General features: G+C 51.0%; 2 protein-coding genes and 1 non-coding gene across 7 annotated transcripts, besides 9 other annotated features; 1 reads left to right on the forward strand and 2 right to left on the reverse strand.

The window, feature by feature from the left end:
* Positions 21–230: a silencer, noted in NCBI's record as "silent region_7369". NCBI's record gives its function as "represses an Ori minimal core promoter by ATAC-STARR-seq in GM12878 lymphoblastoid cells {active_cell/tissue: GM12878}" and the evidence as "EXISTENCE:reporter gene assay evidence [ECO:0000049][PMID:35858748]".
* ZNF771 (zinc finger protein 771) lies at positions 95–11,903 on the forward strand. Of its 3 annotated transcripts, none has more exons than XM_047434196.1 (3): positions 95–327; positions 534–683; positions 10,044–11,903. In XM_047434196.1, the coding sequence occupies exons 1-3, from the start codon at positions 262–264 to the stop codon at positions 10,854–10,856; spliced, it is 1,029 nt and encodes a 342-aa protein (XP_047290152.1). In that variant the 5' UTR covers positions 95–261; the 3' UTR covers positions 10,857–11,903. The 3 variants fall into 3 exon arrangements, with proteins under 3 accessions (XP_047290152.1, NP_057727.2, NP_001135777.1); NM_016643.4 differs by having other exon boundaries at positions 95–153; positions 521–683; NM_001142305.2 differs by having other exon boundaries at positions 95–153.
* Positions 2,065–2,154: a silencer, noted in NCBI's record as "silent region_7370". NCBI's record gives its function as "represses an Ori minimal core promoter by ATAC-STARR-seq in GM12878 lymphoblastoid cells {active_cell/tissue: GM12878}" and the evidence as "EXISTENCE:reporter gene assay evidence [ECO:0000049][PMID:35858748]".
* Positions 10,031–10,120: a silencer, noted in NCBI's record as "silent region_7371". NCBI's record gives its function as "represses an Ori minimal core promoter by ATAC-STARR-seq in GM12878 lymphoblastoid cells {active_cell/tissue: GM12878}" and the evidence as "EXISTENCE:reporter gene assay evidence [ECO:0000049][PMID:35858748]".
* Positions 10,401–10,480: a silencer, noted in NCBI's record as "silent region_7372". NCBI's record gives its function as "represses an Ori minimal core promoter by ATAC-STARR-seq in GM12878 lymphoblastoid cells {active_cell/tissue: GM12878}" and the evidence as "EXISTENCE:reporter gene assay evidence [ECO:0000049][PMID:35858748]".
* Positions 10,511–10,560: a silencer, noted in NCBI's record as "silent region_7373". NCBI's record gives its function as "represses an Ori minimal core promoter by ATAC-STARR-seq in GM12878 lymphoblastoid cells {active_cell/tissue: GM12878}" and the evidence as "EXISTENCE:reporter gene assay evidence [ECO:0000049][PMID:35858748]".
* Positions 11,904–12,113: 210 nt separating the features above from the next.
* SNORA80C (small nucleolar RNA, H/ACA box 80C) lies at positions 12,114–12,248 on the reverse strand. The gene has a single exon (NR_145731.1). It is a non-coding gene; the product is annotated as a small nucleolar RNA, H/ACA box 80C (small nucleolar RNA).
* Positions 12,249–16,103: 3,855 nt separating this feature from the next.
* On the reverse strand, positions 16,104–22,519 carry DCTPP1 (dCTP pyrophosphatase 1). Of its 3 annotated transcripts, none has more exons than NR_134470.2 (3): positions 22,344–22,519; positions 21,546–21,656; positions 16,104–17,022 (listed from the first exon to the last, which is right to left on the reverse strand). NR_134470.2 is itself a non-coding variant. In NM_024096.2 (3 exons), the coding sequence occupies exons 1-3, from the start codon at positions 22,467–22,469 to the stop codon at positions 16,722–16,724; spliced, it is 513 nt and encodes a 170-aa protein (NP_077001.1). In that variant the 5' UTR covers positions 22,470–22,519; the 3' UTR covers positions 16,104–16,721. The 3 variants fall into 3 exon arrangements, 1 of the variants encoding a protein (NP_077001.1); NR_134471.2 differs by lacking the exon at positions 22,344–22,519 and adding an exon at positions 22,078–22,289; NM_024096.2 differs by having other exon boundaries at positions 22,369–22,519.
* Positions 20,622–21,122: an enhancer, noted in NCBI's record as "H3K4me1 hESC enhancer chr16:30439454-30439954 (GRCh37/hg19 assembly coordinates)". NCBI's record gives its function as "activates a minimal SCP1, AML or CMV promoter by ChIP-STARR-seq in primed H9 embryonic stem cells {active_cell/tissue: H9 hESC(primed)}" and the evidence as "EXISTENCE:reporter gene assay evidence [ECO:0000049][PMID:30033119]".
* Positions 21,123–21,623: an enhancer, noted in NCBI's record as "H3K4me1 hESC enhancer chr16:30439955-30440455 (GRCh37/hg19 assembly coordinates)". NCBI's record gives its function as "activates a minimal SCP1, AML or CMV promoter by ChIP-STARR-seq in primed H9 embryonic stem cells {active_cell/tissue: H9 hESC(primed)}" and the evidence as "EXISTENCE:reporter gene assay evidence [ECO:0000049][PMID:30033119]".
* Positions 22,377–22,456: an enhancer, noted in NCBI's record as "active region_10701". NCBI's record gives its function as "activates an Ori minimal core promoter by ATAC-STARR-seq in GM12878 lymphoblastoid cells {active_cell/tissue: GM12878}" and the evidence as "EXISTENCE:reporter gene assay evidence [ECO:0000049][PMID:35858748]".
* Positions 22,857–22,966: an enhancer, noted in NCBI's record as "active region_10702". NCBI's record gives its function as "activates an Ori minimal core promoter by ATAC-STARR-seq in GM12878 lymphoblastoid cells {active_cell/tissue: GM12878}" and the evidence as "EXISTENCE:reporter gene assay evidence [ECO:0000049][PMID:35858748]".

Genomic DNA, 27,195 nt, shown 5'->3' on the forward strand with positions numbered 1-27,195 from the left:
CTCCGCCCCAGGGGGTGGGGCTATATGTTCGGACCAATGACCGGCCGTCCCTGCGGTCCCGCCCCCTCCCCGCCCCCGGAGCCGCGGCCTCGCTGAGTGCCCAGCCGCCCGGCGCCCAGGCCTGGGGCACCGCGAGTGCCGAACCTTCGGCTGGTGAGTGCGCACCCCCTCCCCGGGGTTTCCGCCCCGATCCCGCCTCCAGCCCGTGCCCCAGAGCTCCAGGTCGCCGACCCGGGCCCTGGGGAGTGACTCAGCGCAAGGATGGTGGCGACTTGCGGGGGCTGGAGATTCGAACTGTTCAAGGCCTTGAATGCTGGGATGAGTGGGGTGAACGCGAGCCCTCGGAGCTGGTCCCGGGGCTGTGCCAGAGCGTGGGGCCGGGCTGGGGTGGACGGGAGAGGACCAGATTCGGAGACCAGGGCAGGGCGGGAGAAGCCACGGCTGCACTGCCTTGCTGGGCCAGGGCCACGGTGGGCGGGGGGGGGGGTGGGGGGGGGCGGGTCCTGAGCTTCTGATCCAGCTCCCCGCCTCAGGACACCAAGATGCCTGGCGAACAGCAGGCAGAGGAAGAGGAGGAGGAAGAGATGCAGGAGGAGATGGTGCTGCTGGTGAAGGGTGAGGAGGATGAGGGTGAGGAGAAGTATGAGGTGGTGAAACTCAAGATCCCCATGGACAACAAGGAGGTATGTGTCACACACACCCTGGGGCACACTGTCCCCAAACCTGGTCCAGGCCCAGCCTCCCTCAGATAGAAGCCAGGGATCTTGCCCCTACTTTTCCCAGAATCTCGGATCTAAAACCTCAGGATTGGCCCATCCTTCTGCCCTACTGCCTGGGCTTCCATCATACAAAAGTCACGCCTACTGTCCCAGGCTTCCTGCTGGGTGCAGGAGATTAAACTCCGTCCTTGGATCCCCCATGGAGCTTGATGTTAGACTGAAGGGTAACCACACAGTTAGAATCCCGTGTGATGGCTGCAGGTACAGGGGGATGATGAAGCCTAGAAGTGGGAACTTAACTCAGATTTAGAGGTTGGGGAAAGGTCAGGTTAGTTCAACAGCAACAGTAACAATAGCTAACCCTTGCCTAGCATTTTCTATGTGCCAGGCACTGTTCTAAGCACCTCGATTCTATGATGTCGGTAGCATTTATTCCATTTTACAGATGAGGAGACTGAGGCCCAGGGCAGTTTGGTAACTGGCCACAGGTCTCAAAGTAAAAGGATGGCTTATGTGAGACTAGTAGGAGTCTGGGGTCAGAAGTGGGGTGATGGACCCAGTCAGAGGAAATGGCTCTTTTATTATTACTGTTGTTATTGTTTGAGACAGGGTCTCATTCAGTCACCCAAGCTGTAGTGCAGTACAGCTCACTGCAGCCTTGACTTCCCTGGGCTCAGGTGATCCTCCCACCTCAGCCTCCCAAGTAGCTGGGACTACAGGCATGCACCACTACACCTGGCTAATTTTTTTTTGTTTTGTTTTGAGACAGAGTTTCGCTCTGTTGCCCAGGCTGGAGTGCAGTGGCGTGATCTCGGCTCACTGCAGCCTCCACCTCCCGGGTTCAAGTGGTTCTCCTACCTCAGCCTCCCAAGAAGCTGGGATTACAGGCATGCACCACCACGCCCGGCTAATTTTTTGTATTTTCAGTAGAGTTGGGGTTTTGCCATGTTGGCCAGACTGGTCTCAAACTCCTGAGTTCAGGTGATCCTCCCACCTCAGCCTCCCAAAGTGCTGGGATTATAGGTGTGAGCCACCGTATCCAGCCAGAAATGGCCCTTATAGAGGCTCAGACGAGTGAGTAGTGCACTGCAGCAGTGAGGGTGGGTGGTTCGGTCATGCTGTAGTGTGGATGAGTGGGGGTGGTTGGCAGGCCACACAGGGAGTCTGGCTTTTATTCTGAGGGTATTTGAAGGTTTTGAGATCAGAATATGAGTTAAATTTCACCCCCTGGAGACCCTAACTGCCACCAGATACGTTTCCGCTTCTCAGAACCCCAGAGGATTCTGTCTGCCCCCAGCCTGAGCAGCCCTGAGTACCAGCAGAGGGCTTTGGCCCCAGGGACCCAGCTTGCAGGGGCCGGGACTCTGATTCTTCCTGCCCAGGAGCCAGTTCCCAGGGAAAGAATGCTCTGCTGCCCCCTAGTGGGCCTGCTGGGTGCTGGGGGAGGGGACTAGCTCCTTAGGCCTCTGGATAGTCTAATAACTATCTGGTTGTGTTTGTTGCGGGCCCCCTTCGCCCATTATCCAGCTCTGCCTGCCTCTTCTGGCCCTGCGATTGCCTGATCTCCACCTTTGGCCTCTAAGTTACAAACACAGGCTCCAGAGCTTAGGGTGGACTTCCAGCTCCATCATTTACCCGCTGTGTGACCTTGGCCAAGTTTCCTAACCGCTCCACGCCTCAGTTTCCTCATTTGTAAAAGGGAAATTATAACAGCACCTACATCTTGGAGTTGTGAGGAATGAATGAGTCAACACATGCACAGAGTTAGAACTGTGTCTGGCACAAAATAAACACGGAAATAGTTGCTGTTACATTTATTCTTCTCCCCAAAGCTCAGGACCTTGGGCAAGGTCATCCTTCTTGAGATTTTTCAACTTTTTTTTTTTTTTTTGAGACGGAGTCTCACTATGTCGCCCAGGCTGGAGTGCAGTGGCGCAATCTTGGTTCACCGCACCTCCACCTACCGGGTTCATGCCATTCTCCTGCCTCAGTCTCCTGAGTAGCTGGGATTATAGGTGCGCACTACCATGCCCAGCTAATTTTTGTATTTTTAGTAGAGGTGGGGTTTCACCATATTGGTCAGGCTGGTCTCGAACTCCTGACCTCATGATCCGCCCGCCTCGGCCTCCCAAAGTGTTGGGATTACAGGCGTGAGCCACCACGCCTGGCTCAACTCATTTTTATCAAAGGCCTGGGCTGAACCATGAGAACTGGGGTTGATCAGGGAAGTGAATGTGGGGGCACAGAGGATTGAAGACAAACGACTCAAGGCAGTGGGGAAGGCTTCCCAGAGGAGATGATTTTTGACTTGGGCCTTGAAGGCTTTGCAGGGGTTTGGCACATGGAGGAGGAGGAAGGGCATTCCAGGAGGAGGAAACAGCAAAAACAAAGACTCAGAGGAAATGAGACTGGAAAGGCAGTTGGGGGACAGAGGGGCCTTGCAAGCTAGGGCAGGACGTACTGTGTTAGGTTCTGTGGCACCATAAGAAGCCTTAAATCATGGGAAGAGCCAGGCGTGGTGGCTCACACCTGTAATCCTAGCACTTTGGAAAGCCAAGGTGGGAGGATCACTTGAGCCCAGGAGTTCGATTCCTCCCTGGGCAACATAGGGAGACCTCATCTCTACAAAAAAAAAAAAAAAAAAAAAAAAAAAGTTTAATTAGCTGGGCATGGTGGCATGCCTGTAGTCCTAGCTACTCTGGAGGCTGAATGATCCCAGGAGTTCAAGGCTGCAGTGAGCCATGACTGCACCACTGTACTCCAGCCTGGGCAACAGAGAGAGACCCTGTCTCAAAAAACAAAAACAGGCCAGGCGTGGTGGCTCATGCCTGTAATCCCAGCACTTTGGGAGGCTGAGGCGGGCGGATCACTTGAGGTCAGGAGTTCGAGACCAGCCTTGCCAACATGGTGAAACCCCATCTCTACTAAAAATACAAAAATTAGCCGGGTGTGGTGGCACCTGCTTGCAATCCCAGCTACTTGGGAGGCTGAGGCAGGAGAATCGCTTGAATCTGGGAGGCGGAGGTTGCAGTGAGCTGAGATTGCACCGCTGCACTCCAGCCTGGGCAACAGAGCAAGATTCCATCTCAAAAAAAAAAAAAAATCAGAGGAGGGACATGATTGGATTTTCTGTTTAGAAGAATTATTGGCTGCTACAGGGAGCCCAGGCCAGGTAGGGCCTGCTCTAAGGTAGTAACAGCAATGATGAGGAAAAGGGGCCATTTAGGAACCTGGCTAGAGCCAAGGGGTATGTGCGGTGAAGGTCTGACATGGCTAGTCATGAAAGGCACACAGGGCCAGATTGTGAATGGTATCATGTAGCGGTCGTAACTCCACCGTTTACCAGCTTTTCTTTGGCTTTCTCATCTGTAAAATGGGGTAATAGAGTAAGACCCCTGAATGCCAGTCTGAGAAGTGTCATCAAGGTGACTAGATTTGGAGGAGATGGGTGGAATTGAGGATTATGCACACATATCCCATGAACTGTTAGCATCGTGCCCAGAAGGGTGCTCGATCGTTAGCTTGCTGTGGGCCTTCCTGAGCCTCATTTCTCCATCTATGAAATGGTGACCTCGAAAACACCTTCCAGTGGTGACATTCAGTGAGTCCTAGCTATTGCCAGTCCTGTGGCCAGTCACTGTCCAGAAGGGCCTTAATTACGCTGCATGCAGGGGCTGGAGTATTCTCCCTCTGCCATCAAAACCCAATCTATCTTTTAGAAAGATTTTCTGAGGGCTCCATGCACATCCAAACCTATCTTTCCCTGGCTTGAACCCTTGAGTGGTTTTCTGTTTCCCTCAGGGTGAGGTCTCAGCTCCTAAACTTGGCATTCAAAGCTCTTTACCATCTGACCTCATGCCATTCTGGCTTCATCCCCTCGACACCTATCCCATCCCCCCTTGTGGTCTCAGCCCGCAAAGCCCTCTTCACCTTTGCTCCCTGCTTTCTCCAGGAGTAGCTCTTTTCTCATCTAGATCAGTTTCTTAATTTTTAACATGCATACAGATCACCCAGGGGTCTTGTTAAAATGAGGATTTTAATTCAGTAAAATCTGGAGTGGGATTTGAGATTCTGCATTTGTAAAAAGTTCCCAGTGATGTTGATGTTGCTGGTCTGTGGACCACACATCCTCCAGCAAGGAACTAGAAGACAGTGGTTGTGTTTAATAGTTTGTGCCAAAATGAAGGAAGACTGTGACCGCAAAAAGGGGCCAGGGGAGGGAGACAAGCTGTGTAAGTGGCCTCAAACTCTAGTCAGTGAGATTAGAATTGCATCATGGAGGCTGGGCGTGATGGCTCTTGCCTGTAATCCCAGCACTTTTGGAGGCTGAGGCAGGAGGATTGATTGAGCTCAGGAGTTCGAGACCAGCCTGGGCAACATGGCAAAACCCCATCTCTACTGAAATACAAAAATTAGCCGGGTGTGGTGGCACACCCCTGTAGCGCCAGCTATTTGGGGGGTTGAGTCAGGAGGATTGCTTTAGCCCGGGAAGTCAAGGCTGCAGTGAGCCGTGATCATGCCACTGCATCCAGCCTGGGTGACACAGTGAGACCTTTTCTCAAAAAAAAAAAAGAGAATAAAAAAAGAATTGCATCATGGTTAAGAGAATAGGTGTTCTGGAAAATGAGTAAATTCAGTTCAAACCCTGGCTCTGCCATTTATTAGCTGAATAGCCTTGCCTTGTGTAGTCACTTAACTTCTGAGTCTTATTTCCTTATATATAAAACAGGGCTAAGGTACCTAACGAAAGCCATGGCGAGAATTTAGAAAGACAGTACTGGTAAAAAGCACTTAGCACAGTTCCTGGCACATGGTGAGTGCCCAACAAGTGGGAGTTATTTTATTAATTAGAGAAGTAATGGCTAAGGAAGAAACTGGGATGTTTGCTCTGGTTAAAAAACATTTAAGCAGGAAAACAAAAATCACTAACTTCTAATACCTGGATTATTATATTATTACACTACATTGTATGTTCACAGTAGCCTCCTGTTATAGTGCAAATACCATTTATTCTAATTTTTAAATCTAATAGTTGTAGAATTTAAGACATGCTTGGGCCATTAATGATCACCTAGTCTGGTATTTGCCAAGTTTCAGTCACATGTGTATTGCTCATATGTTGTACTCACATTATTTATTAATGTTTTTCTTCAAATAGATTCACATTGTTTTGTTAAATAAATGTACCTTCATCTAAACAATAGTACTGATGAAATTGTGGGTTTCATGTGATATCTTGTTTTTTAAATATTCGTGAAAATAAATGTGTAACAATTATGAGACTTTTTTAAAGTTTGCCCACATACCACCTTATACCTCATGCTGGGAAATTTTGGGTTTTTTTTTCTTTTTTTAGAGACACGATCTCGCTTTGTCACCCAGGCTGGAGTGCAGTGGCACGTGATTGTAGCTCACTGCAGCCTTGAACTCTTGGGCTCAAGTGATCCTCCTTCCTCGGCCTACCAAGTTGTTGGGACTACAAGTGCACCCCACCACACCTGGCTAATTTTTCACTTTTTGTAGAGACGAGGTCTAACTGTGTTGCCCAGGCTGGTGTCCAACTCCTGGCCTCAAGTAATCCTCCTTCCTTGGCCTCCCGAAGTGCTAAGATTACAGGTGTGAGTCACTGCACCTGGCCTCATACTGGGAATTTGATCTCACTTAGCCTACCTGGCCTTTCTCGGGACACTGGGGCAGAGGAGGATCTTAATGAGCTGGATTCAGCTCCTCTTACCAAGATTTTTCCTCGGGCATCCAAGGCCCCTTCTCCTGGGCTGGAGACATCAACAGTGCTTGTATGGAGAATTTCTTTTTCAGAAGTCAGTGAACTCAGCATGAGGAAGCCCTCAGGCTGTCCAAAGTCACCTGAAAGAGGGTGCCAAGGAAAAACGGGCCAGAAAAATGTAGATCTGATGAGACAAGTTCTCTCCACAGTGGCTGATGTATTGAAATAAACCAATAGATTTCAAAACCAGGGCAAGACTGGAAAATGTGACCTTGAATTCAGATGGTACCAAACATACTGTGGGGAGTTTCTCCATTTAAAGTATCAAGTTGTATTTTAACCTTGAATCCCTCTTGGAGTGTGCCAGGGACGTGGAATCCAGCCTCTGTCACATCTTGGTCACGTGAGTTCAGAACAGTGTAGCCTGAATGACGGCATGGTCTCATGGGCACCCTGAGTCCATCCTGGCTCCCACTGGCCATGTGAATTTCATCGCCCTCAGCCTCAGCTTTCTCAGCTATCAAAAGAGAGAACACCCAGCTCAAGGCGGGTGACAGGAGGATTTAATACAATAACATACATAGTGTTGTCAAAGCTTAATACTTTGTTATTGATTGTTGCTATTGTTATCAGTATAGATACTATTTAAACCAGATTTCTCTTGGTCACTAATTTTCTAAATTGCCCTGTTTTCTAATTTTTTTTTTTCAACGGAGTCTCGCTCTGTTGCCCAGGCTGGAGTGCAGTGGCGCATCTCCGCTCACTGCAAGCTCCGCCTCCCGGGTTCATGTCATTCTCCTGCCTCAGCCTCCCGCGTAGCTGGGACTACAGGCACCTGCCACCACGCCTGGCTAATTTTTTGTATTTTTTTAGTAGAGATGGGGTTTCACCATGTTAGCCAGGATGGTCTCGATCTCCTGACCTTGTGATCTGCCCACCTCAGCCTCCCAAAGTGCTGGGATTACAGGCGTGAGCCACCGCGCCCGGCCTCTTTTTTTTTTTTTTTTTTTTTTTTTTTTTGAGATGGAATCTCACTCTGTTCCCCAGGCTGGAGTGCAGTGGCATGATCTCAGCTCACTGCAACCTCTGCCTCCCGGGTTCAAGTGATTCTCCTGCCTCAGCCTCCTGAGTAGGTGGGATTACAGGCATGAGCCACCACATCCAGCTGATTTTTGTATTTTTAGTAGAGACAGGGTTTCACCATGTTGGCCAGGCTGGTCTTGAACTCCTGACCTCAAGTGATCCGCCCACCTCGATCTCCCAAAGTACTGGGATTACAGGTGTGAACCACCACGCCTGGCTTATTTTCTAATTTCTGAGTTGGTTACCACAAAGCCACTACCTTTTGACAAACTATCTTGAAGGCCTTGAAGTTGCCCTCCTGCAGCTTCAGAAACAGAAGGCCCTACTATTTTCTGCTGTCACCCTTTTTTTTTTTTTTTTTTTTTTGAGACGGAGTCTTGCCGTCACCTAGGCTGGAGGCAGTGGTGCAATCTTGGCTCACTGCAACCTCCACCTCCCGGGTTCAAGCAGTTCCCTGCCTCAGCCTCCCGAGTAGCTGGGATTACAGGCGTCCGCCACCACGCCCAGCTAATTTTTGTATTTGTAGTAGAGACGGGGTTTCAACATCTTGGCTAGGCTGGGCTTGAACTCCTGACCTCGTGATCCACCTGCCTCGGCCTCCCAAAGTGCTGGTATTACAGGCGTGAGCCACTGCACCTGGCCTTGCTGTCCCTCTCTCTTCACCTGTCTCCCCATCTGTAAAATAGGGATGATGATAATTACCTCGTGGAGATCGAATATGGGAGAAGCTGACACTGTCTTGTCCTTAATATGCCCCAGGCACTTCATTTGGTCATGAATTAATTGCTTGGCCACAGTAGATACGCGACATCAGTTTTGCTGGGGTTTTGAGCGTTCTCTTTTCTAGGAAGGGAGCAATATGCCCTCAATACTCTTCACTGTTAGTCCAGAATGTTTTCCCTTCATGTGCCTCTTAGAAGGCATTTCTTTCCTTTTTCTGATTTTTATCTCTAAAAGGCCAGAGCTTGTGAAACTGGCTCATTTTCAGATTGTTTCATTTCAGACCTCAGAATAACATTTGGCTTTTACCCTTGCCTTTTTCTTCACTGCTTAAAAAATGATAGGTGTTTGCTATTCAAAGCTGATTAAGAGCCTGGACTTGGTCCTGGCCTGGCTTCCAGGATGCCCCTCTCCTGCTCTCCTCCCTCCCTGGCTTCTCCCCATCTTGCTGCCCTAGGTTCTGTCTGCCCATCCCCTGGATGATCTCATCCACTCATTCTCAAGGCTTTATAAACCATCTATAGGTTGACAGCTTCTCAATTAACATCTCCAGTCTAGGCCTCGCTTCTGAGCTCCAGATATGTCAAGAAGCCGTGACACCATCCAAAACAGATCTCCCCTCTCAACTTGCTCCTCCCACCGTCCTCATCTCTGTAAATGGCAACTCCACCTTTGCAGTTGCTAAGCTCAAAAACCTTGAAGTCATTTTGATCTCTTTTTCTTCACACCTCATATCTAATCTCTTATTAAATCTATTGTCTCACACTGCAAATAGATCCAGAAGCCAATCACTTCTCACCACCTCCACCATCCACCGTCCACTTCTGTCACCTGGGTATGAGCCACTATCTTCTCTTGCCAGGTGGCTGTAGTGGCCTCCTCACTGGGCTTCTGCTTCTGCTCTCTCCAACTCCTTCATTTGGTTTTCAACCCCAGTAGCCTGAGGGGAGCCTTTTTAAATGTGTAGGATATGGTCACTTCCCTGCTCAAAGCCCTCTGACATCTCCTCTTACAGGTCCCTGTCTCCTTTATAATAAAAGCCAGAGCCAGGCACAGTGGTATGTGCCTGTAACTCCAGCTACTCAGAAGGCTGAGTCAGGAGGGACTGCTTGAGCCAGGAGGTTCGGGACCAAGCCTGGGCCACGGCAAGACCCTGTCTCTTAAAAAAAAAAAAAAAAAAAAAAGCCAAATATAACAAATACAAGGCCCTATATGCCAAGAGATCTCCACCACTACATCCGTGACTCCCCCCATCATGCATTCTGCTTTAACCAATTTTTCTTGCCATTTCTGGAACAGCAGGCAACTCCCGCCTCTGCGCCCTGCCGTTCCCTCTGCAGTGCTCCTCAGAGGGCTATCCACGTAGCCTGCTCTGTCACCTCCTTTAAGTCTTTGCTCATGTTATCATATCGGTAAAGTGTCTTGACAACCCTGTTTAAATCTGTAGCATCCCCAATACCAGCATTCCTTATCCATTATTTCTGAAAGCAGGAATTTTTTAATGCTTTTTATTTAATGCGGAATCCCCGTGCCTAGAACAGTCTAGGACACTGCATGCCCTCAGTAAATATTGGTTGAATTAATAAAAATAGCTAGAACGCCACTGGGCTTTGTGATGTGTGCGTTACGCGCATTATCTCACTGGATGCGCACAGCCATCCTGGGAGGCAGCACCGTGGCCTTTCCTATTTCATAGATGGGGAACTGAGGCTCACAGAGGGAGCAGCCTGTGGAGACCCAGGTCTCTGGCTCCGGGGCCTGCCGCTAAGGGCTGACCTATCCCCCTCTCCCCGCAGGTCCCGGGCGAGGCGCCCGCGCCGTCCGCCGACCCGGCGCGTCCCCACGCGTGCCCCGACTGCGGCCGCGCCTTCGCGCGCCGCTCCACGCTGGCGAAGCACGCGCGCACGCACACGGGCGAACGGCCCTTCGGGTGCACCGAGTGCGGGCGGCGCTTCTCACAGAAGTCGGCGCTGACCAAACACGGCCGCACGCACACGGGCGAGCGGCCCTACGAGTGCCCCGAGTGCGACAAACGCTTCTCGGCCGCCTCGAACCTGCGGCAGCACCGGCGGCGGCACACGGGCGAGAAGCCGTACGCATGCGCGCACTGCGGCCGCCGCTTCGCGCAGAGCTCCAACTACGCACAGCACCTGCGCGTGCACACGGGCGAGAAGCCGTACGCGTGCCCGGACTGCGGACGCGCCTTTGGCGGCAGCTCGTGCCTGGCGCGCCACCGACGCACGCACACGGGCGAGCGGCCCTACGCTTGCGCCGACTGCGGCACGCGCTTCGCTCAGAGCTCGGCGCTGGCCAAGCACCGGCGCGTGCACACGGGCGAGAAGCCGCACCGCTGCGCTGTGTGTGGCCGTCGCTTCGGCCACCGCTCCAACCTGGCGGAGCACGCGCGCACGCACACAGGCGAGCGGCCCTACCCCTGCGCCGAGTGCGGCCGCCGCTTCCGCCTAAGCTCGCACTTCATTCGCCACCGACGCGCGCACATGCGGCGCCGCCTGTATATTTGCGCCGGCTGCGGCAGGGACTTCAAGCTGCCCCCTGGCGCCACGGCCGCCACTGCCACCGAGCGTTGCCCGGAGTGTGAGGGCAGCTGAGTCCCGCAGGGCTGCGGAGGGGCGCGCTGGGGCTTCGACCTGGCTGCACTAACCCAGGCTCCTCCTCGCCCCGGCCTCCGGGTCTGGGAAATTGAGGGGACGGCAGGCCCGGCTGCCCTGGAACTGGGAGACAGGGAGAATCCCCTGCCGGGGTCCCTGGAAACAGTGCCCACCCCACATCACTACATTCCCTCGGCCCGTGTTAGTGAATAAAGTATTATATCCTCACCCCACCCGTGCCTGTGAGTGAGGTGGGTGGGAGAGGAAGAAAGTTGGGGTTCTCCAGGCTCAGGTGCCAAGTGAGTTGTCAAGGAACCAAATGGGGATGTAAACCTAAAAGGGGTTCCCGGCACCTCGGTTTGTGTTGGTTGGAGGTGATCGCACACTTGGCCCTTGGTTACGTCCTCATAACCTTAGACCTGAAAGGGCCCATAAATATACTATGTTCACGATCAGACACGCACTGCATTCGGCAGAGCTCCAGTGAGCAAGGCACGACCCTCAGATCTCAGTCTAGTGAAGGAGAGAAAACTGTAATAACACTACGTTAAAGGTTTTAACTGCTTTGTTATGTAAGCTTACCCAGCCCGGCGCACAGTGACTCACGCCTGTAATCCCAGCACTTTGGGAGGGCGAGGCTAGCAGATCACTTGAGGTTAGGAGTTCGATACCAGCCTGGCCAACATGGTGAAACCCGGTCTCTACTAAAAATACAAAAATTAACTGGGTGTGGTGGCGGGCGCCTGTAATCCCAGCTACTGAGGGGGCTGAGGCATGAGAATCACTTGAACCTGGGAGACAGAGGTTGCAATGAACCGAGATAGTGCCATTGCACTCCGGCCTGGGCAACAGAGGAAGACTGCCTCAAACAAACAAAAAACAACAAACCAAACCAAACCAAACCAAAAAAATCTCAAAGCGATTGGACCTAGCAGCTCATGCCTGTAATCTCCAGCACTTTGGGAGGCGGAGGCAGGAGGATCTCTTGAAGTCAAGAGTTTGAGATCAGCCTGGAGAACAAAGTGAGACCCCCATCTATTAAAAAAAGAAAAAAAAAGGCTGGGCATGGTGAGGCACACTTGTAGTCACAGCAAATGAGGAGGCTGAGGTGGGAGGATCACTTGAGCACAGGAGGTTGAGGCTACAGTGAGCTAATATTGTGGCACTGCACTCCAGGCTGGGCGACAGAGTGAGGCTGTCTCAAAAATAAATAAAAATTTAAAATTCCAAAGTTATAAAAAATTTTTTCTTGTTTTCTACTGTGCAACCCACTTCAGTGCCAGCAGCCTACAGGCATAGAGGCCCGGCAATGGTTGGGGCTACAGTTTGCTCTGGCATGGGGTACTATGAGAGGCCTAGGGAATCCAGCCCATCATAAATCCAAACCCATGCGTTGTTTTAAATTTATTTTGGGCCGGGTAAGGTGGCTTACGCCTGTAATCCCAGCAGTTTGGGAGGCTGAGGCAGGCAGATCACCTGAGGTCAGGAGTTCGAGACCAGCCTGGCCAACATGGTGAAACCCTATCTCTACTAAAAATACAAAAATTAATTAGCCTGTAATCCCAGCTACTCAGAAGGCTGAGACAGAGTGAGACTCCATCTCAAAAAAACAAAAAACAAAAACATCAGCTGGGCGTGGTGGCAGACGCCTGTAATCCCAGCTACTTGGGAGGCTGAGGCAGGAGAATTGCTTGAACATGGGAGGTGGAGGTTGCAGTAAGCTGAGATCACACCATTGCACTCCAGCCTGGGTGACAAGAGTGAGACTCTGTCTCAAAAAAAAATAGTAATAAAAAATAAAAATAAATTTATTTATTTTGTAGAGACAGGGTCTCGCTATGGTGCCCAGGCTGGTCTCCATATCCTAGCCTCAAGCAATCCTTCCACCTCTGCCTCCCGAAGTGCTGAGATCAGGCATGAGCCACCATGCCTGGCTAGGTAAATCTTTTCTGTCCATTTTTGCTACAGCCAATGAATGGCAGAGACAAGTAAATAGGCACTTGCAGTCCAGTGTCAACTGGTGCTATGATGGAGGAAGATAGGCTCTTCTCAGAGGTGATGTTTAAGTTGGGTCTGGAAGGTGAAGCTGGGGTTCGGGAAGTGTGGAGAGAGCCCCTAAAGCTGCATTCCAGGGTCATTAGAGCTTGCAAATGTTCCCTGGGGTGGAATGGGGGGACAAAAAGCAAGAGGGTTTTGGAAGTGAGGTTAAAGTATCCAAGGTAGCAAAGCCTTGAGGGCTTAGAGGGGAAGGATGGATCTGACATCTGTAGGGAGCTGGAACTCATAGCAGTGGACCTGGGGTTGAGGGAAAGGAGATGGGACTGACTTCATTTCTTAGCTTGGGTGACTGCAGGACAGTGTCACTGAGATGGGGGTGCAGGATGAAGAGCAAGACAGGAGGTTAAGTGGGGCAACTGTTACACCCCAGTCTGGACATGCTGAATGTTAGGTCAGCATGAGGGAGGGGATTGGCAATAATAGCTTAGAGATATCAGGTCTGGAGTTCGTCTGGAGTCCATGACACCATGTCCAGAAGAAAGCACTCAAGAAGAGTCTTGAAAGTGGCCAGGCGCGGTGGCTCACGCCGGTAATCCCAGCACTTTGGGAGGCCGAGGGAGGAGGATCACTTGAGGCCAGGAGTTCAAGACCAACTTGGGCAATATGGTAAGACCCCGTCTCCACTAAAAATAAGGAAAAATAGCCAGAGGTAGGAAGAAAACCAGGTAAGCATCTTATCTGGGAAATCTAGAGGAAAGTGTTTCAGGGAGAGTGGAGGATCAGCTGCTGCTCTGGTGCCCGCTGCATTTGTCATGAAGGTGGGGATAGTGGTGAGAGTCGTTTCAGTGGAGGGGGGTGAAAACCAGCCAGGAGGCAAGGTTGTAAATGGGACAGTGGGGAAGCAGATTGGGGGAATTTAGCCAACCCTTTGAAGATACTGCTCGAGGTTTGATGGTTTCACTTTTGGCAACAGGGAAGGGATTCATATATGCTTTCTGCACGGGAAGAAAGGGCTAATGCAGAGAAGCTGATCATACAGAAGGGAAAGCAGACACCCAATTAAAGAGAGGAAGGAATCAGGGCTTCATAAGAATGCGGATCCCATTATCACTGGACAGCCAGAAGACAGGCGGGTTTGGGCACATAATCTGATGCACTGTTTTACCTGGGAAATAAGAATGGGGGTCAATGGATAAGAAATATAAGAGAGTGAGGCCAGGAAAGGAGAATGCCTCATTTTACTGAGATGCAGACTGCCTCAGAGAGGCAGCAAGTCAGTGACCATTGTAGATTCTTTTTTTTTTTTTTTTTTTTGAGACGGAGTCTCGCTCTGTCCCTCAGGCTGGAGTGCAGTGGCACGATCTCGGCTCACTGCAAGCTCCGCCTCCTGGGTTCACGTCATTCTGCCTAAGCCTCCCAAGTAGCTGGGACTACAGGTGCCTGTCACCACGCCCGGCTAATTTTTTGTATTTTTAGCAGAGACGGGGTTTCACTGTGTTAGCCAGGATGGTCTTGATCTCCTGACTTCATGATCCGCCCGCCTCAGCCTCCCAAAGTGCTGGGATTACAGGTGTAAGCCACTGCACCCGGCTGACCATTGAAGATTCTGAAAGCACAGATGTCCACTGGTATACGTGGGGGACTGTTTCCAGGACACACCCCCATCCCCACCGTGTACACAAATCCACGCATACTCAAGCCCCAGTCAGCCCTGCGGAACCCACATATGGGAAAAGCTGGTCCTCCACATACATGGGTTTTGCATCCCACAAATACTGTATTGTTGAACCATGTCTGGTTGAAAAAAAATTCAACCAAATGTGGACTTACACAGCTCAAACCCGTGTTGTTCAAGGGTCAACTGCAGTTTAAAAGTCCTTTCCCCTACATTAGCCTACCCTATGACGGAGGCAGCCAGAGGTATCTCAGAAAAAAGTGATGTGCCCAAAGTCACACAACAGGCAAATCTTACACACTCAACACTTTCTTTTTTTTTTTTTGAGACGGATTCTCGCTCTGTCACCCAGGCTGGAGTGCAGTGGCATGATCTTAGCTCACTGCAACCTCTGACTCCCGGGTTCAAGCAATTCTCCCTGCCTCAGCCTCCGGAGTAGCTGGGATTACAGACACCCGCTACCACGCCCAGCTAATTTTTGTATTTTTAGTAGAGATAGGGTTTCACCATGTTGGCCGGGTTGGTCTCGAACTCCTGACATCAGGGGATCCACCTGCCTCAGCCTCCCAAAGTGCTGGGATTACAGGCGTGAGCCACCACGCTCGGCCCTCAACACTATCTTTAGGTGGAGAGGAAAAACAATAAATTGGCCTTGGTGTGGCAGGGTGGGTAGCCTTTACTTTTACCAAGGAGGAAGCCCTATTTCGCCCCACATCAGAGACCTGACCCTGATTTCCTGCTCTGGGCCCGATAGTTGAGTTAAAAAGGTAAATAAGGCCAGGCGCGGGGACTCACGCCGGTAATCCCAGCACTTTGGGAGGCTGAGGTGGGCGTATCACGAGGTCAGGAGTTCGAGACCAGCCTGGCCAACATAGTGAAACCCCATCTCTACTAAAATTACAAAAATTGGCCGGATATGGTTGCATGCACCTTTAATCCCAGCTACTTGGGAGGCTGAGGCAGGAGAATCGCTGGAACCTGGGAGGCGGAGGTTGCAGTGAGCTGAGATCACGCCACTGCACTCCAGCCTGGGTGACAGAGCGAGACTCAGTCTCAAAATATATATATAAATAAATAAAAAGGCAAACGACTGGGCACGGTGGCTCAGGCCTGTAATCCCAGCACTTTGGGAAGCCAAAGTGGGCAGATCACCTAAGGTCAGAAGTTCAAGACCGGCCTGGCCAACATGGTGAAACCCCATCTCTACTAAAAATACAAAAAAGTAACCGGGCGTGGTGGCGGGCACCTGTAGTCCCAGCTACTCGGGAGGCTGAGGCAGGAGAATGGTGTGAACCCGGGAGGTGGAGCTTGCAGTGAGCCGAGATCACACCACTGCACTCCAGCCTGGGCGAAAGAGTGAGACTCCGTCTCAAAACAATAAAAAAAAAAGCTGGGCGTGATGGTGGGCACCTGTAATCCCCGCTACTGGGAGGCTAAGGCATGAGAATCGCTTGAACTCAGGAGGCAGAGGTTGCAGAGAGCCGAGATCATACCGCCGCACTCCAGCCAGGCCTACAAGAGCAGGACTCTGTCTCAAAAAAAAAAAAAAAAGGAAAACAGGTAATAACAGTAACTGCAAAACTTACCAAGTGTACTTTACTATGTGCCAGGCCCCGCCCTGAGCATTCACATAACTCATTGAAACCTCACGACCCTATTGGGCAGGTACTATTCTTTTTATTTGATAGACAAGGAAGCTGAAGTGCAGAACGATTAATTTGAGTAATGTCATTTAGCTTGCAAGTGTCAAAGATGGCATTTGAACCCAGACAGCCTGGCTCCACCATCTGGACTCTTACAGCCTTCAATCTCTAAGAGGGGGAAGGAACTTACATGACATCCTACTGGGAATTTGCTAGAAACCAGATCTCTCTGCCCTGCAGGCAAAAGGTACAACAGGGAAACACGAGAATGGGTCTCAGAGGCACCCCTGGTACCCCCGTCATCACCTGCTGAGACAGAGAGCCTCCCTGGCCATCCAGGAATAATCTAGAAGTTATCGCCCAAAACCATTTTACTGGGAGAACAAACACCAGGAGGCTACCTTCTAGAGGCTGCTGGGCCTCAGACCTCAAGAAGTGGAGGCCTCAGGCCCATGATCTATTCTGAAAAGACTAGAAAAAGGCTCCAGGGCCAGGCCACTCTCTGCTCTTCAGACACCACCCTGAGTTGCAAGTCCTGTGGCCATCTTTCTAGGTTGAGGTCTGGCCTGTGGAGTCACAGGGAATGTCCGCAGGCCCCACAGCCTGGTCTTCAGAGATGGCCCCATGGGGCAATTCTGTATACTTGCGGGAAGAGCTGCGGGCCAGATGGGCTGGGTAGCGTCGCCGGTTGATGTCCATTTTGGAGAGCACTGCTAGCGGCAGATCCACACGGCAGCGGGCTGCTAATGCCACCAGGTAGATGAGGACGTCACTAAGCTCCTCTTGAAGGGCTGCCCGTTCCCTGGGGGACCAGCCTTGGGGGCCAGGTTCCCCATCGGTTTTCCACTGACTAGGGGCAGAACACAGACAGACACACACTCAGATGTAACCTGGGGCAATGGGCTCTGCCAGTCCTTGCAGTAATAACACCCACCTCCAAGGACGACCTAACCAATCTGGGCCCTGGGAAGAGTCAGGTGGGGAAGAGACCCCGACAGATGATACCAAGATGTCTGTGTCTCTCCCTGGGCCAAGGAGTGGCCAAAAGAATGTTTCATCTGTTGAGACAAAGCTTTGAGGCCCAATTCTAATTCTCTCCAGCCCTAGCCGTCACCACCACAGACCAAACCTCGGACCTGGACCACTGCAGAAGCCTCCCCACTCATCTCCTGGCTAGCTCATCTTCTACTCCTGCCCAGACCATCTTTTCTATTTTTTGAGACGGAGTCTCGCTCTGTCGCCCAGGCTGGAGTGGAGTGCAATGGGGCGATACTGCAACCTCCGCCTCCCGGGTTCAAGCGATTCTCCTGCCTCCGTCTTCCGAGTTGCTGGGATTACAGGCATGTGCCGCCATGCCCGGCTAATTTTGTTTTTCTAGTAGAGACAGGGTTTTGCCATATTGGCCAGGCTGGTCTCGAACTCCTGACCTCAGGTGAGCCGCCCTCCTCGGCCTCTCAAAGTGCTGGGATTACAGGCATGAGCCACCGCACCCGGCCCACACCATCTTTTAAAAGCACAAATCAGGCTTGGCGCAGTGGCTCACGCCTATAATCCCAGCACTTGGGGAGGCTGAAGCGGGTGGATCATGAGGTCAGGAGTTCAAGACCAGCCTGGCCAAGATGGTGAAACCCCGTCTCTACTAAATATACAAAAAAATTAGCTGGGCATGGTGGTGGGCACCTATAATCCCAGGTACTCAGGAGGCTGAGGCAGAGAAATTCTTGAACCCAGGAGGCAGAGGTTGCAGTGAGCCGAGATCGCACCACAGCATTCCAGCCTGGGAAACAGAGCAAGACTCCGTCTCAAAAAAACAACAAAACAAAACAAAATGAAACAAAAAAAATTGGCTGGGTGCCATGGCTCATGCCTGTAATCCCAGCACTTTGGGAGGGTGAAGTGGGTAGATCACCTGAGGTCAGGAGTCCGAGACCAGCCTGGCCAACAAGGTGAAACCCCATCTCTACAGAAAATACGAATTAGTTAGGCATAGTGGCGCATGCCTGTAATCTCAGCTACTTGGGAGGCTGAGGCAGGAGGGCAGAAGAATCGCTTGAACCCGGGAGGCGGAGGTTGCAGTGACCCGCCATGACGCCATCACACTCCAGCCTTGGTAACAGGAGCAGAACTCCGTCTCAAAAACTAAACAAAACAAAACAAAACGAGACCCCACAAATTGTATTTTTCCCCTTCTCTGCTAAAATACAAACTGTGCTTGGAATACAATCTAAACTCTTGACAAAGCCCTCCTGTCCTGCATGGGCTGACGCCTGCCTTTTCCAATGCCACTGCCCCCCACTCTCACTCCCCGCCTAAGGCCACTTTGGCTTGTTCTGCCTTGCACACAGGCCAGACTGTCACAGGCCTTTTGCATTCACTGCTCCCTCTGCCTTGAATGCTTCCCCATCCCCCATCATTCCCAGGGCTAGCTCCTTCCTGTTATTCAGGGCTCAGCCTAGATGTCACCTCCTGGCTCGTCACCTTGTGTGTTTTTTGTTTGTTCGTTTTTGTTTTTGACAGAGTCTTGCTCTGTCGCCCAGGCTGGAGTGCAGTGGCACGATCTTGGCTCACTGCAAGCTCCGCCTCCCAGGTTCACGCCATTCTCCTGCCTCAGCCTCCTGAGTAGCTGCGACTACAGGCGCCTGCCACCACACCCAGCTAATTTTTTGTATTTTTAGTAGAGATGGGGTTTCACCGTGTCAGCCAGGATGGTCTCGATCTCCTGACCTCATGATCCGCCTGCCTTGGTCTCCCAAAATGCTGGGATTACAGGTGTGAGCCACAGCACCTGGCCGGTTTTTTTTTTTTTTTGAGACAGAGTCTTGCTGTTGCCTAAGCTGGAGTGCAATGGCGTGATCTTGGCTCACTGCCAGCTCTGCCTCCCGGATTCAAGCGATTCTCCTGCCTCAGCCTCCTGAGTAGCTGTGATTATAGGCGCCTGTGACCACACCCGGCTAATTTTTGTATTTTTAGTAGAGACAGGGTTTCAGCCTGTTGGCCAGGCTGGTCTTTTTTGTTTTGTTTTGTTTTGTTTTTTGAGACGGAGTCTTGCTCTGTCGCCCTGGCTGGAATGCAGTGGCACAATCTTGGCTTACTGCAACCTCTGCCTCCAGGGTTCAAGCAATTCTCCTGCCTCAGCCTCACGAGTAGCTGGGACTACAGGGGTGTGCCACCATGCCCAGCTAATGGTTGTATTTTTTAGTAGAGACAGGGTTTCACCATGTTGGCCAGGCTGGTCTTGAACTCCTGACCTCAGGTGATCTGCCTGCCTCGGCCTCCCAAAGTGCTGGGATTACAGGTGTGAGCCACCGCACCTGGACCTTTTTCGTTGGGTTTTTTTTTTTTTTGAGACGGAGCCTTGCTCTGTCGCCCAGGCTAGAGTGCAGTGGCGCGATCTCGGCTCACTGCAAGCTCCGCCTCCTGGGTTCACGCCATTCTCCTGCCTCAGCCTCCTGCGTAGCTGGGACTACAGGCGCCCGCCACCACGCCCGGCTAATTTTTTTGTATTTTTAGTAGAGACGGGGTTTCACCGTGTTAGCCAGGATGGTCTTGATCTCCTAACCTCATGATCTGCCCGTCTCAGCCTCCCAAAGTGCTGGGATTACAGGTGTGAGCCACCCCGCCCAGCCCCTTTTTTGTTTTTTTTTTTTAAGGCAGAGTCTTGCTCTGTCGCCCAGGCTGGAGTGCCATGGTGTGATCTTGGCTAACTGCAGTCTCTGCCTCCTGGGTTCAAGCGATTCTTGTGCCTCAGCCTCCTGAGTAGCTGGGATTACAGGCGCCCGCCACCATGCCTGGCTAATTTTTGTATTTTTAGTAGAGACAGGGTTTCACCATGTTGGCCAGACTGGGTCATCACCTTGTGTTCTTTTCCTCATAGAACTTGTCATAATTCCAGATCTTCTAATATGAGATTACTGATTTACTGTCAATCTCCTTCCACTGTGAAGGTGGAAACCTTTCTGCCTTGTTCCAGGCCATATCTCAATTCTAGAAGACCTAGCACATAGGTGATGTTCATAAATCTGTCATGAGGCCATGTGCAGTGGTTCAACCTGTAACCCCAGTGCTGCGGGATGGTGAGGCAAGTGAATCACTTGAGACCAGGAGTTTGAGACCAGCCTGGGCAACAACAGCGAGAGATCCCATCTCTACAAAAAGTAAAAATAAATTAGCCAGGCTTGGTGGTGGCGCACGCCTGTAGACCCAGCTACTCCGAAGGCTGAGGTGGGAGGATCGTTTGAGCTCCTGAGGCTTCAGTGAGCTATGATCACACCAGTACACTCCAGCCTCAGCAACAGAGTGAGACCTTTTCTCTTAAAAAAATGACTGTCCTGGTCTAGGGCTCATCGCCTCTTGCCTGGTCTACACCAGCCAACTCTCTGGTGTCCCCTGCCCCATTCTCTCAGTGATCCATCCAATCCACCCTGTAGACACAGTGACCTTTCCAACACTCATATCTGGTCAGGTCTTCTGTCCAAACTCTCCATCATACTCTAGCCCTAATCATATCTTTGTGGGTTCAACTCCCACCCCTCTCCTCCACAGCCCTATCACTCATCCAACGTGTGCCTATTGAGCGCCTACTATGCGCTGGGCACTTGGGACACATCAGAGAAAACAGATCCCAAATCCCTGATTTTTCCTGAGATGCTTACAATGAAGGAGCGTCAGATTCTCCCTGAATTGAACTTGCCCTTTCTTGCCTCACTGCCCCTGCAAATGTAGTTCCCATGTCTGGAATGCCACAGGCAGGTCCTCTACAGAATACCTTCCTTTCAGCCCCAGAGGCAGAGGAAAAGGGTTGTTGGGCCAGGCGTGGTGGCTCACCCCTGTAATCCCAGCACTTTGGGAGGCCAAGGCGGGTGGATCACCTGAGGTCAGGAATTTGAGACTAGCCTGACCAATATGGTGAAACCCCGTCTCCACTAAAAATACAAAAATTAGCCAGGCGTGGTGGGGGGCACCTGTAGTCCCAGCTACTCGGGGGGCTGAGACAGAACTGCTTAAACCCAGGAGGCGGATGTTGCAGTGAGCCGAAATTGAGCCACTGCACTCCAGCCTGGGCGACAGAGCGAGACCCCGTCTCAAAAAAAAGCCAAAAAAACAAAAAACAAAAGAAGGGAAAAGGGTTGTTGCCACTGCTTCTTCCTAGACGGGACCTGTCCTGATGCTTTCACACCTCACACCTCTCTCTTCCAGGAGGCTGAGTGCCCCTAGAGGGCAGGGACCCGTGAGTCCTCTCTGCATCCCAACAACAGCAAAGAGCCTAGCAATCAGGAGGGGAAACTGAACCCATGAATGTTTGAAGACCAAATAAATGCTCCCCTCCCCTCCCCCACAACTCAGACTCTACCAGGAAGCTTTCCATCTACTCACAAGAGTTCTGCCAGCTCCCCCACTTCCCCAACCAAGGCCAGGAGGAGATTCCGAGGCTGATGGAACTGTTCCCAGTCTCGTTCCGCAGCAAACTCAGCATGGAGGCGGCGGCTGAAATAGGACAAAGGAGTGTAAGTCCAAGTCTCCGGGTTAGAGGGTGATGCAGGGGCCAGAGGCAGCTACCCCCGTAGTATGTAATGGGGCCTGGGACCAGGAGATTCTGCAACTAATTCATTGGATGGTATTGTGCAGGTCATTTCCTCTTTCCGGAACTTGGTTCCCTCATCTATAAAATGGGCGTGCCCCTGAACTGCCCTTAACATCTCGCCAAAACTAACAAAACCCTCTTCATTATTCCATCTCCTGCTGCTACTTCTGCAGTTTCCTCCACCTGGAATCGCCGCACATCAAAATGCAATTTCTCTTACAGAAGGTAGTTCCACAGACCCTTCCTCTAAGAAGCCTTTCTTGACCTCCTCCAGCAAAAAATAACGTCTCCCACCTCTCAGCACTTCGTTTGCCCCTCTCGTACCCCCGGCGCCTGGAGAGCAGAGGCGGTATCTGGTGCCGGTATCTTCCCAGGGCTAGGCTGAAGGGCGTTCCTAGTTACCACTCGGAGGCACCACCCAATTTCCCTTGCCTCAGGTGTGCACCGCTGCGCCCATTTTGCAGATGAGGTAAGAAGGCTCACCCAGGGACAGCCCACAGAGCCAGGACCCGAGCCCCGCTGCCAGCCCGCTTCCCGACCACGTGGAGGAACCCTCCCCAAAACGCGGGAGAAAGGGGCGACTTCCCCACCCCGAGCTGGGCCAGGCCTGCTTACATGTCCTCGAGCGTGGGCTCCGGGCTGAAGCTGAACCGGCCGGGAGCAGCAGTGTCCTCTCCCCCCGTGTCCCCACGAATCTCCCCACCGGCCACAGACATGCCGCCCACCGCTGCACCGCGACTTCACGGAAAACCCACGAGCCACGCTCGAAGCCCCGCCTCCAGAGCTCCGACCAATTACGGGAGTTCTCTATTGCCTCACGGGGCGGAGCCTGAGGAAAGAGACCAATGACTTTTGTGGAGTTTGCTACAGCCCTCCCCTTCCCTCACTGGACCAATCTGAGGGAGCTTCAAGCGCGCGTTTCTAGTCTTAGGCCCTGGAATTCTTCCGCTAGGCCCTGTGTCTAAAGGTAGAGGTACCAATTCGACCTGGGGAAGAGACGAAGGGCAGAGGGTGGGGGAAGCGCAGGCGCGTCACTTCGTTTATGGGCGCCAGAGGGCGCCAAAGCGAAACGGCAGCGGAAGAGGGCCCGTCAGGTGGAAAACCCTATAAATGAAAGGCCCTATGCATAGGTATTAAATCAGGGCTTAAGGACGTTGAGAAACCTCGAGGCCAACCCCCACACTATTTGGATGGGATTGAAGGGGAAGAGCGGAGTAAGATCAGACGGCAGTAGGACTTCAGCTCCCCGCCATCGCTGTGTCCTGTGGTTGAAACGATGGAGGTCGCCCCATCCCTGTCCTAAGGGAGGCAGTAGGCCCCAGCGCAACGTACATTGCCCTGAAACACGTGGCCCCTTATGGTCTGGCCTGTGCCGGCCTCTCCAGCCTCATGGGTCCCCAGCACGGCTCCTCCACCCCACACACGAGAACTCCAGGCTCCACTCACACCAGGGAATACGCGAGGTGGCGAGTCACAGGGTTGCTGCTTTCAAATCAGAACCACTGAGTTATTGGCCATGGGAGGAGCAGAGATCTTTATGAAACCCTAGAACAGGTGTAGTCTTGCAAAGAATGATTTATTATTGTACCCTTATTAGGGCTACTATCTCTGATTTCCACGTTTAAAGAGGCTTCCAGCTTGCTGGAAGTGAAAGCGTAAGAAAGCGCAGGAAGAGGCAGAGTCAGATTTTGGAAATTAAAATCCCAAGGCTGTGACAATTGCAATTCTAGGTATATGCCCTAGAGAAATTAATGAATATGTGCAGAGAGACACATGCAAGAAGTTCATTACAGTTTTGTTTCTAAGAGTGAAAAAAATTGAAAATAAAATGACTATCAACGGAAGAATGGCTACATGGAAGTATATTTATACAAATGATATTATCCAGCAGTTAAGATTGGATACATGCAACAGAAACAAGTTTAAACTGCTTTTAGCAAGAAAAAGAAATCTATTATTTTTATTTTTTAAATTTTTTATAGAGACAGGGTTTCACCATGTTGCCTAAGCTGGTCTTGAACCAGGATTGCTGGATTGGGCTCTAGCAATCCTCCTGCCTTGGCCTCCCGAAGTGCTGGGATTACAGGCACGAGCCACCCCCACCGGCCACAAGGAATTTATTGTAAGGATACAAGAGTGTCTCCAGAATACAGTGGGACCTCAGGAATGAACTGGAACTGGGGTGGCTGTTTTAAGCATTTTACATATTTAATCCTCATAGCAACTAATTTAATCCTCACAAAAACCCTATATGGTAGGTAATATTGTTGTCATCCCCATTTTAAAGATAAGGAAACTGAGGCCGGGCGCGGTGGCTCACGCCTGTAATGCCAGCACTTTGGGAGGCCGAGGCGGGCGGATCACGAGGTCAGGAGATCGAGACCATCCTGGCTAACACGGTGAAACCCCGTCTGTACTAAAAATACAAAAAATTAGCTGGGTGTGGTGGCGGGCACCTGTAGTCCCAGCTACTCAGGAGGCTGAGGCAGGAGAATGGTGTGAACCTGGGAGGTGGAGCTTGCAGTGAGCCGAGATCGCGCCACTGTGCTTCAGCCTGGGCGAAAGAGCGAGACTCCGTCTCAAAAAAAAAAAAAAAAAAAAAAAAAAAAAGATAAGGAAACTGAGAGGTTAAATAACTTAACAGCTAGTAAAGTGGTAGAGCTGGCGTCAAATCCAGGCAGTTTGGCTTCACAGTCTGTTATTAGACCCTATGATGTATTGCCTGAAATGGCGATAAATATGAAAAAAATAAATGTAACTGTATTTTAAATACTATGAAAGGCTGGGCGTAGTGGCTCATGCTTGTAATCCTAGCACTTTGGGAGGCGGAGGTGGGCAGATCACTTGAGATCAGGAGTTTGAGACCAGCCTGGGCAACATGGTGAAACCCTTTCTCTATTAAAAATACAAACTTAGCTGGGTGTGGTGGTGCATGCTTGTAGTCCCAGCTGCTCAGGAGGCTGAGGCATGAGAATCACTTGAACCCGAGAGATGGAGGTTGCAGTGAGGCGAGATTGTGCTACTGTACTCTAGCCTGGGTGACAGAGCAAGACCCTGTCTCAAAAACAAAACAAAACAAAACAAACAAAACAAAATCTGGGCATGGTGGTGCACACCTGTGGTCCCAGCTACTTGGGAGGCTGAGGTGGGAGGATCACCTGAGCTTAGGGAGGTCAAGCCTGCAGTGAGACATGATTACGCCACTGCACTGCAGCCTGGGCGACAGAGTGAGACCCTGTTTCAATAAATACATACATATATACTATGAAAAGTGATTGGGGGCATGTTTAGATTGCATGGTCCAGGAAGATATATAGTAAGCACTGTAGGTTACCTACTTAATTGCTCTTTTTCCTCTTCTCCATTCTCTTTTTCTTTTTTCTTTTCTTTTTTGAGGAGGAGACAGGTTCTGGTTCTATTGCCCAGGCTAGAGTGCAGTGGCACAATCACAGCCCACTTGTGTAGTTAAGACTACAGGTGAGCATCACCATGCCTGGCTCCTCTTCTATTCTTGCAGAATTTTTTTTTTTTTTTTTAGGAGTCTCACTCTGTCGCCCAGGCTGGAGTGCTGTGGTATGATCTCTGCTCACTGCAACCTCCGTCTCCTGGGTTCACGTGATTCTCCTGCCTCAGCCTCCCAAATAGCTGGGATTACAGGTGCACACCACCACACCCAGCTAATTTTTGTATTTTTAGTAGGGATGGGGTTTCACCATGTTGGCCAGGCTGGTCTTGAACTCCTGACCTCAAGTGATCCTCCCCCTTCTGCCTCCCAAATTGCTGGGATTACAGGCGTGAGCCACCGCGCCCGGCCACTTACAGAATCTTGATTTTGTTCTGGGGTCCACGCTCCTCCACTTGATTGTTCTGCCTGACTGGTCATAGTGTTCCCATTGCCCTGGCCATTGATTGGTTTATGAATGAGCATGCTATGGATAATAAGTTGGAAGTCTTTTTTTTTTTTTAGACAGAATCTCGCTCTGTCGCCAGGCTGGAGTGCAGTGGCGCAATCTCTGCTCACTGCAACCTCCACCTCCTGGGTTCAAGCGATTCCCTTGCCTCAGCCTCCTGAGTATCCGGGACTACAGGCGTGTGCCACCACGCCCAGCTAATTTTTTGTATTTTAGTAGAGACAGGGTTTAACCATGTTGGCCAGGATGGTCTCGATCTCCTGACCTTGTGATCTCCCTGCCTCGGCCTCCCAAAGTGCTGGTATTACAGGTATGAGCCACTGCCCGGCCAAGTTGGAGGAACTCTATTGGATTTCTGGGAAACGTTCTTCTTAGTTCTTTAAAGAAATTACAGGGGCTGGCTATGGTTGTTCATGCCTCTAATCCCAGCAGTTTCAGAGGTGGAGGCAGGAGGATCTTTTGAGGCCAGCCCTGGCAACATAGCGACACTCTACACAAAATTAAAAAAAAAATTAGCTGGGCATGGTGGCATGCACCTGTATTCCTAGCTACTCAGGAGGCTAAGGTGGGAGGATCACTTGAGCCCAGGAGTTTGTTATAGTGAGCTATGATCAGCCCACTGCACTCCAGCCTGGGTGACAGAGGGAGACCCTGTCTCAAAAAAAAAAAATCAAACAAACAAACAAACAAAACCACAAAAGACACAGGATGTTTCTACCTCTAGATGTTGGTATATGGAGAGAAGATTGAGAGGAAACCTAGTCCTCAGGCTGAAATTGGCAAGTCAGCCAGATACAAAGGAACTTGATCCTTCCTAACATTGCTGAGCCACTTATTGTACAAGTTCCAGAAATACCCTAATTTCGGACTCTGGCTATATAAGAAAATGAATCCCTTTAATGGTCAAACTACTTTTAGTTCGGTTTTTTGTTACTTGCCTTGGAGAAAGTGACATTTAAGCTGAGGACAAATCAAGGGGAATAGAGTTCTAGGCAGAGGGAACAACCAATGCCTAATGCAGGAAAGGCTTGGCATATTGCAGTGTGGCAGGAAGGCAGTGAGCAAAGCAGAGAGTGGTTGCATGTGTACGGTGTAGGAGAAGTAAAAAGAGGTCAGATCAGACCAATTCACCACGAGTTTCATTTTAGATTTTTTTTTTTTTTTTTTTTGTAGATGTAGTCTCCCTCTGTTGCTCAGGCTGAAGTGCAGTTGTGCGATCTCAGCTCACTGCAACCTCTGCCACCCGGGTTCAATAAATTCTCCTGCTTCAGCCTCCCTAGTAGCTGGGATTACAGGCATGTGCCACCACGCCCAGCTAATTTTTGTATTTTTAGTAGAGACAGGGTTTTACCATGTTGGTCAGGCTGGCCTCGAGCTCCTGACCTCAGGTGATCTGCCTGCCTTGGCCTCCCAAAGCACTGGGATTACAGGTGTGAGCCACCGCGCCTGGCCTCAGAGGGTTTTAAGCAGGAGAGTGATCATATTTTGGGCAGATCATTTGAACCCAGGAGTTTGAGGCTGCAGGGAGCGA

This window comes from Homo sapiens, chromosome 16 (genome assembly GCF_000001405.40).
Source record: "Homo sapiens chromosome 16, GRCh38.p14 Primary Assembly".
Taxonomy (NCBI): domain Eukaryota; kingdom Metazoa; phylum Chordata; class Mammalia; order Primates; family Hominidae; genus Homo; species Homo sapiens.

Coding starts and splice junctions, on each gene's coding strand:
- ZNF771 (XM_047434196.1), top strand. CDS start 262: ATGGTGGCGACTTGCGGGGGCTGGAGATTCGAACTGTTCAAGGCCTTG. Junction 328..533: donor TGAATGCTGGGATGAGTGGG/GTGAACGCGAGC, acceptor TCCCCGCCTCAG/GACACCAAGATGCCTGGCGA. Junction 684..10,043: donor TCCCCATGGACAACAAGGAG/GTATGTGTCACA, acceptor CTCTCCCCGCAG/GTCCCGGGCGAGGCGCCCGC.
- DCTPP1 (NM_024096.2), bottom strand. CDS start 22,469: ATGTCTGTGGCCGGTGGGGAGATTCGTGGGGACACGGGGGGAGAGGAC. Junction 21,657..22,368: donor GAGCCCACGCTCGAGGACAT/GTAAGCAGGCCT, acceptor GTCCTATTTCAG/CCGCCGCCTCCATGCTGAGT. Junction 17,023..21,545: donor GGGGAGCTGGCAGAACTCTT/GTGAGTAGATGG, acceptor TTCTGCCCCTAG/TCAGTGGAAAACCGATGGGG.